Here is a 9,355-nt window from a genome sequence, read left to right as displayed (position 1 = left end):
GACCAGGGACTTCCCACAGAGGCATGAAAAATATCAGGTAACCTCTTCTCCCCCACCAATACTAAGTACTAAGAGTCTCAGTCTTTACTCTGCTTCACAACTACAAAATATGGTATCTTGTCTCTCCACATGGGGTATCTTATTTCTTTCCATGAAACTACATCGTCAGCCATTCTTCTCACCACTCATGAGTCATCCTGCTCCTTCCCTGCCTCCTCCCCAAGACCTGGGATCAGATCAGACCTTCTTAGCAGATGTATCTGCTGGAGACAAGTGATGCTGCCTCATTCTCTATTCCTATTGGTTGGAGAAACATGCCTGTGACCGATTGGGGATTTCCAGGAATGCTTTTCTTTCTTGAAATGCCTAGTGCAAGAAGCTGGAATGCCTTCCCTGAAACGAAGTAACCTGAACTGAGACTGATGAGGCAGATTCTGGGTTTGAGAACTGCCTGCGGGTACTGCCTCTGAAAAGAGACATGTATTCCTTCTTAAACGACTCATCTTTCTATCTTTATCAAGTGATATTTCCTAGCATGATTATGAGAATATTAGTGCTCAGTAAATACAAACTCTTCATTCTAACTATTACTTCCTAGACTTGTAACTACACTGGGATTTCCAAAATAATTTCCTGGTTGATTTCCCTTCCATCTATAGCTATACAAGTCTTGTTTTTGTTGGGTGGCTTCACTCTGTGCATCCCCTTCCATTCCTGAAGGAAGAATCTTCACTCCCATCAGACAGTACTCCTCTCCCTGCCTGCATCTTTCATCCTTCGTTTCCCTTACATATCGTTTCATTATATTTTCTCTACGCCTCCTACTGTCTTAATTAACCAAAACTTGCCCTTTTTAATGAGTGTTACTATCTCATACACATAGCTCCAATCTTTAATTTTTAAGGTTCATGTAGGTGTGTAAAACATTTTTTTATTATTATTATTATTTTAGAGACAGAGTCTCGCTCTGTCACCCAGGCTGGAGTGCAGTGGCGAGATCTCAGCCCACTGCAACATCTGCCTCCCGGGTTCAAGCAATTCTCCTGCCTTAGCCTCCCAAGTAGCTGGGACTACAGGCATGTGCCACCACACCCAGCTAATTTTTGTATTTTTAGTAAAGACTGGGTTTCGCCATGTTGGCCAGGCTGGTCTTGAACTCCTGACCTCCGGTGATCCACCTGTCTCTGCCTCCCAGAGTGCCGGGATTACAGTCGTGAGCCACCGTGCCCGGCCAGTGTGTAAACTGTTTTAACAATTTGGCTCATGTTTGAAAACCAACAAATTTGTGCTCTTATTGTATTTTATAAACGAATCGATTGCAGCACTTGTTGCAGTGTATTACAGCAAGTTTACATTGGCTTTGAACTCCTAGGAAACAAGATCTGCAGATCCTATTTATCCTAATAACGCATAACCTTGAAGAATGATTTGCACAATTGCAGCAGCATTAACTTTTTAATGTTACCCCAAAGGAATAAACGTTATCTTTTTCAAGTCAGGATATAATTCCCATGTTTCTACCATCACCTCCAAAAGGGGTACAAAAGGTTATTTTCAGAGTTATTATAAAGATTAAATGAGATAATTGAAAAATGGCTAAAGAGACCCTGGAACTATTGATTCTCTTTTCCATCATTGTCCCTGCACGTTCTTCTTATAACCAGCAGGTGGGGAGATGACCCTTAATCAATCTCTTTCTCCTTTCCTTTCAATTTTGTCCCTACCACAGATTTTAGTTTTCTACTAGTGATGAGATCCAGCATTACAGCAATTTTCTTTTCATTTAGTCCTGGACAGGGACTTTCCACCTATGTCTGAAAAAGAACAAGTATCCTGATTCACGCTCTACATTCATTAAGCATGATTGATCGTACTAGAAAAGGGGAGAATTCTTGGCAATCCACACAGCTATCACCTGTTTCTTTCTACAAATTTCAGATATTATATCTTTCTCACATCACATAGCTAATAATTTGCCCCTACTCCACCTTTTCACAGGGTCTCGAAACCAGACTAATGCTAGGACTATTGAAGTAGTGTTATTTGCTGGAGACAAATGATGTTACTTCACTCAGTGGTTGCATAGGAAGAAAACTGATAAGTAATGGAGGTTTTCATAAAGTCCCTTTGTCCAGAAAACTGACCTGCTTCATCTTAAAGCACAGAGCCTGGGAACCAGGATAGATAATCACCCTGGGGGTTTGAGAACTCAGTCTTTGGATGCTATCTCTGAAAGACGAAAAGAGGTCTAAAAAAATTCCACATTTTCTCTTTCTACCCATTAGATAGTAGTACTTTGCACAAGTTTGGAAGGACACAAGGCACTCAGTAAAACCAGTCTCCTAGTCTCACTGTCACCTCCCCAGGCTTGATGCTCCTCCTCTACCTATATGACACTTGCCTTACCAATAGATGATTTTGGTGTTTTACATTTGCACATTTCAGTTCATCACCTTTCTAAGAAGAGACTGCTCAGCTTCTAAGGCCTCTCATAAATACAGGTCCTCTCTGTGCATCTTCTCTTATCGTATACTATTCTTTAATCTAGATGTTCACTCCAGTCAATCTGGGCTTTTCCCTAAATCAACCCACTCCCTGTCCCACCCCCGCTGCCAGTACTGCTCTCACTCATGCTGTTCATGATGGTTCCTTTCCCACTGCTATTCCTCGGCATCATTTCCTCCTCTTCTCTGCTTCAAGTCTTACTTCTGCAAATGAACTGTATTTTCAAATTTTCTCCAAATACTCCAATCTGTATGAATATACCCTTTATCTACTATTCTTGAATTTTGTTACTTTTAAATTATACCCACTCTTTCTTTCTTTCCTTCCTTCCTTCTTTCTTTTCTTTTCCTTTCTCTTTTTTTCTGTTTTTCTCTCTCTCTTTCTTTTTTTTTTTTTTTTTTTTTTTTTTTTTTTCAGAGATAGCCTCACTCTGTTGCCCAGGCTGGAGGGCAGTGGCGTGATCTCAGTTCACAACAACCTCTGCCTTTCAGGTTCAAGCGATTCTTATGCCTCAGCCTCCCAAGTAGCTGGGATTTCAGGCATGCACCACCACGCCTGGCTAATTTTTTGTATTTTTAGTAAAGATGGGATTTCACCATGTTGCCCAGGGTGGTCTTGAACTCCTGAGCTCAGGCAATCCACCTGCCTTGGCCTTCTAAAGTGCTAGGATTACAGGTGTGAGCCACCACCCCCAAACCCCATTTGTATTTTCATTGCAATTTATAAACATTTATATTTATACTTAATACATTGTTTATTAATTCAACAGCTATTAAATAACTATCTATTTTGAACCAGGCATTTTTCTAGGAACTGAGGAGAGAATAGTGCACAAAGTTTCTGGTGTATGGAGTGTATGTTGTATATGTGTCTTTTTTTCCTGATAGATATTGATCTTCATGAGATCCTCATCCTGGAACCTTAGCTCCTACCACACTCTTTGAAATGGTAGACGTCCAATAAGCATTTGCTCTTTGAATATCATCAGTTATACTTTGTGCTTCTTATAGAAGTATGTGCATGTTTTAGACGATGGGTATTTTTCACTCTGTGAAGCCCTCTACCAACTTATTCTAAAGTCAGAAAGGAGGTGAAACCTGCCTTAACATATAGAAAGGAACAGTTTAGTGACCAAAAAGTTTGACAAGAACTGGAATTATACACAAGAAATACCAGCCGAATCACAGGACTATTCCTGGAGCCCCCGCTTCCAGTGTCCTTCACTCCGTCCTCTCCTTCAACTTCAATTTAACTACAACAAACATTCATTAACATGTGTGCCGATATTTCCGATTTTCCTGCCCTTTTCCCTTCTGTGACTTCCAAAGTACCTGACGGTGCATTCTGCTGTTGTTCTTATTTCTCTTTTCCTAACCACAAACACTGAAGCCCCTGGTGAGAGGCTTCTAGCACGAGTGTGATAGGCTCATGGTAGGTCGTCATGAGAAGCTTTCCAGGCACATCCCATGGCACCTTCTAGTTATGCCCAGTAATTTCTTACTGTCCCTATTTTAGATACATTATATTTGTGACCACTGATGAACATTTTTTTATGATTCTGAATTTTGGATTCTATTTTAAAAATCTTTTTCTATTTCAAGGTTAGGAAGATATTCTCTAATATCGGCTTCTAGAAGTTTTATTGTATTGATTTTTATAGATAGATATGTTTTCTACTGGAATTAATTTTGTGTATAAAGTGAGATAGGTGTCAAATTTCTTTCTTTTTTTTTTCAGTAAGGATATACAACTGATTCAGCAGCATTTATTGACAGGCTGATACTTTCTGGGTCACTAAATTGACAATTATTAGATCACAAAAGAGGCACAAAAGAGAACATACTGTATAGTTTAATTTGTATAATGTTACTAAGCATGTTTAGGAATAAATATTAGATTTTGAAGGTGTATTGAGAAGCAATGAAGGGATTGCTATGAAAGTCTGATGGTGAGTTGTCTTGGTGGGAAGGGAGAGTAATGTGGACAGGAGGAGGCACGGGAGAGCTTCTGGTGCTGGCCTCATGCTGTTTCTTGATTTGGGTGGTGGGTTCATGGATGTTGGCATTGTAATGATTGATTAAGTTGTACATTTAATCTTTACGTGTCTTACTATATGTGTGTTCTATGTCACTATACAATGTTAAAAATGTAACACATTTGGTTTCCTAATCATATCCCAGTAATAAACAAATAAATATTTATTTATTTATTTATTTGTATTTATTTGAGACAGAGTCTTGCTCTGTCACCCAGGCTGGAGTGCAGTGGCGCAATCTCAGCTCGCTGCACCCTCCACCTCCTGGGTTCAAGGGATTCTGCTGCCTCAGCCTCCTGAGTAGCTGGGACTACAGGTGCCCGCCACCACACCCAGCTAATTTTTGTATTTTTAGTAGAGACGGGGTTTCACCATATTGGTCAGGCTGGTCTCGAACTCCTGACCTTGTGATCTGCCTGCTTCAGCCTTCCAAAGTGTTGGGGTTACAGGTGTGAGCCACTGCACCCAGTCATAATCAATATTTATTAAATACTATAAGTGATGGACATTATTGAATGTGTTGGGAATGTAGCAGTTAACTGAAAACACAGTTTGATACATACATCCACTGCAGGGTTATGATGAGAATTAAATGAAACAAAGTGAAGGTAGAAAATTCAGTGCCTGGTGTAAAATAAACAATAACTCACTATTTTATTTTCCCTTCATTTGTCTGTGCATAAACCTATGGCAACCAGAGTTGGCATAATAGATCTCTCTGACAGTCTCCATCTCTTCTATAATATGAATAGCAGGCAGATAGCAGCAGGATAGCTTTTTATTTGTGCTTTTAATACTATCCAGGCACAGGAATGGAAAACCAGGCATTATGTCTCTATCAGTCTAAATGCCCAGCTCCTCCAATCCTCACTGCACATTTTGCTTTACTCTGCAAATATTCTTTATTTGCTAACCACCTATGTCATGTCCTAATTTATTCCACAAAGGAAGTTTTCAGCCTTTCTTATCAACACCTAATTTAGTCATCCTGTTCTCCTGCAACTTTTCTCCAAGACTTTATATAAGACCTTCTGGTCAGCTGTATCTGCTGGAGATAAGTGATGTGGTTTCAGTCTTTATCCCTATTGGTTACAGGAAAAACAGCAACAACTATTTGTGAAGGGATGGGGATTTCCAGTAAATTTCTCTCTTTTTTCTACAAAATGTCTCAACCGGAAGGAAAGAACCAACACACCGACGGATAGGCATACTGATCCCTTTGGGTGTTACCTACAAAAGGAAAGAAAATATTTTCCTTCTAAAAGACCTTCTGTTCTTCCCTTATTCATCAAATACCAGTTCTAATGCACATCTGGAAATCTAAAAGGAGCATGGTATTCCCATCATCCATTCCTGTTGTCACCACACTGATCTCTGTGTCCAATCCCTCATAACTAACCTTGGATTGTAAAAGTTTTGCTACTCGATATTTTTTCCTGCATCCATCCACATCTTTCTAAAAGATGTAACATCTTTGCCAAATTTTCAATGCCTTTCTTAGTGTACTTCAGCTCTGCACATCCACTCTGATCTCCCAGTATTATTTAAGGGAGCCTTTCAATTCTAGGTTAGCAGACTCCCCTCTATCTCTATTTCCATTTCCTGACTCCCCCTGCTTCCTGCATACGTGTTATTCATGATAGTTCCTGTTCCCCGGCGAGTCTCTAGCCTAACTGAATCATAACCCTTCCTCTGTGTTTTGAGTTTCACTGCCTCTGGAACTCACATCCATACAAATGCTTCCTTCTTGTTGTAAATATAAGTTTATACTTAACTATTTTGTTTTAAAATTTTTCTCTTAAAAATTAATGACACCAAATTGTGTTTGATTGTTTTTATAGCTATGTCTGTTGGAGATCTTGTGACATTTTTATATGAATTTTTTTTTTTTTTGAGACCGAGTCTTGCTGTGTCGCCCAGGCTGGAGTGCAGTGGCGTGATCTCTGCAACCTCCGCCTCCCGGGTTCACGACATTCTCCTGCCTCAGCCTCCCGAGTAGCTGGGACTACAGGCATGCCCCACCACTCTATTTTTAGTAGAGATAGGTTTCACCATGTTAGCTAGGATGGTCTCCATCTCCTGACCTCGTGATCCACCTGCCTCGGCCTCCCAAAGTGCTAGGATTACAGGCGTGAGCCACCATGCCTGGCCCCATTTTTATATGAATTTTATATGTCTGTCATTACAATGTGCTCTTTTGTCTGTGTAGGATCTACTTAAAAGTAGGATCTAATTCATGTGAATCTTTGTATCCCCAGCATTAGAAGAATCTTCTGCACAAAGGAAGCACTGAACACACCTTTTGTGATTGAATATCCCCACCTAGATTGCATGTGTATGTGCACATGCATATGGTGGATCCTCAGTTAAAATTTACCGAATTTAAAGTGCGGCAAAAGATATGAGATAGATATTAAGAATATTTTTTCTGACTGTGAGGATTTATATATGGAAATACGTGAAGGAGGGACAATCCCTTCTACAAAATTCTTTTCACCAAATTACCGCTGACTGTTACCACCCTGTGTGGCTCCCACAACAGCTTCTCCTATGAGAAGCAGATAACTACATTTTTGTAGAAAACAAGAGGATGAACTGACTAGTGAACAAGGGGTTAAACGGCTCCCAAATCATGTTCTCAGTGATGCCCACCAGTCCTCATTTCATAATTTAATTACCAGTTACAAAAGATCTTCTGGACGCCGGATGTTTGGGTCTTCTGGAGCTCTCTCCTGCTCTTCTGGTATATCCACAAACAGTCTTGTCAAAACTGGATCCTGATACTTCATACAATTACTTGCTTCGGGACCTCTTGAGATTCATTTCTCGTTTCTTCATTTCCTCACCAAATGCTGGAGTCCATTGAGTGAGAAGGGGCTAGCCTCAGCCATGTGTTTACTTTGGAGGCCTAGTCAAGAGCTTTTCTAGAACATCCTGTGGGAATCAGTGGACTTGCCCCAATATTTTCTCATTATTTTCACACTATTCACTGTTCCCATTCAATGCGGCTGCTGAGCTATTATTTTGCTTTCTGTCTAGGCACTGGTAACCCTGGCTGGAGCGCCATCTTGGCTGATTCTCCATATCTTATTGTCCTTCCATGACTCACATGTGCTACTGTCCGTTAACCATGCTCTTTGTCACAAAGCACAATTCTCAGCTTCCCCCCAGCTCCTACTCCTTCTCCCCAACACTTGCACTTACAGAAATGTTTCCTTCCCATTTCCCTTTTCTGTATCTACCATCTTTTATCTGCCCTAATATCTACAAAAATATCCTCAGTTCTCTTGAAGTAAAAATGGACACTTTTAAAATTGTTCATGTAAGTATGGATGTATATATCTATAAATTTATGTATACATATTTATGTATTCATGGATATTGGTGAATAAATGTCAGGGTAGCCCTACTTTTTACACCCGCTTCTCTGGTCACAATACAGATGAACTGTCTGCATTTGGGTGGGAGGCAGTGAGAGAAGCATCGATTGATTGGCATGATTGGTGAATAGACACATGCACAGGAAATACCAAGGTTTTAGTTCCCAGCCTCCATTTTTGCTTTCAGTACATATCTCACCTCAACTATATCTCTAGAAGGTATTTGAAGATTTATCCTGATACTCCCATAAATATAAGAACTTTGTTCCATCCTATGATTTTTTAAATTATTGTAATTTTTTTTGGCAAATTATAATTGCATATAATTATGGGGTACAAAGTAATGTTATGATATATATACACAATGTGGAGTAGTTGACTCAAGCTAATTAATATATCTATCACCTTAAAAACTTTTCATTTATTCCTCCTGTCTGTCTGCTACTTTATACTCTTTGACTAATGTCTTCCTATTCCTCCCAATCTGCAGCCTCTGATAATCACTATTCTACCCTCTGCTTCTATGAATTTGATTGTTTTTGATTCCACATATAAATGAGAATAAGCAGTATTTGTCTTATTTCACTTAGAAACGTCTAGCTTATTTCACTTAGCATACTGTCCTCTAGGTTCATTCATGTTGTTACACATGGCAGAACAGCGTTTATTTTTTGTTTTTTTTTTTGAGATGGAGTCTCTCACTGTCGCCTGGGCTGGAGTGCAGTGGCACTATTTTGGCTCACTGCAACCTCCGCCTCCTGGGTTCACACCATTCTCCTGCCTCAAGCTCCTGAGTAGCTGGGACTACAGGCGCCTGCCACCATGCCCGGCTAATTTTTTGTATTTTTAGTAGAGACGGGATTTCACCGTGTTAGCCAGGATGGTCTTGACCTCCTGACCTCGTGATCCGCCCGCCTCGGCCTCCCAAAGTGCTGGGATCACAGGCGTGAGCCACCGCACCCAGCCCAGAGCAGCCTTTTTTTTTAAAAGGCTGTATGTTATTCTGTTATACGGAATATATTCTGTATATATACCACATTAAAAAAATTTGTCAGTTGATGGACACTTAATATCTTGGCTATAATAAGTAACACTGCAATGAACATGACAGTGCAGATATCTCTTCAACATACTGATTTTAAGTCCTTAGTCCATACACCTAGAAGTGGGATTGCTGAGTCATATAGTAGTTCTACTTTTAATTTTTTCAAGAACTTCCATACAGTTTTTTATAATGGCTATACCAATTTACATTCCCACCAACAGTGTACAAGTGTTTCCTCTTTTTTTTTTTTTTTTTTTTTTTTCAGATGGCATCTCACTCTGTCACCCAGGCTGGAGTGCAATGGTACGATCTCGGCTCACTGCAACTTCTGCCTCCCAGGTTCAAGCTATTCTCCTGCCTCAGACTCCCAAATAGCTGGGGCTTACAGGT

The sequence above is a fragment of the Homo sapiens genome, chromosome 6 (assembly GCF_000001405.40).
Source record: "Homo sapiens chromosome 6, GRCh38.p14 Primary Assembly".
Taxonomy (NCBI): domain Eukaryota; kingdom Metazoa; phylum Chordata; class Mammalia; order Primates; family Hominidae; genus Homo; species Homo sapiens.
Note: the sequence above shows the minus strand (reverse complement) of the source record.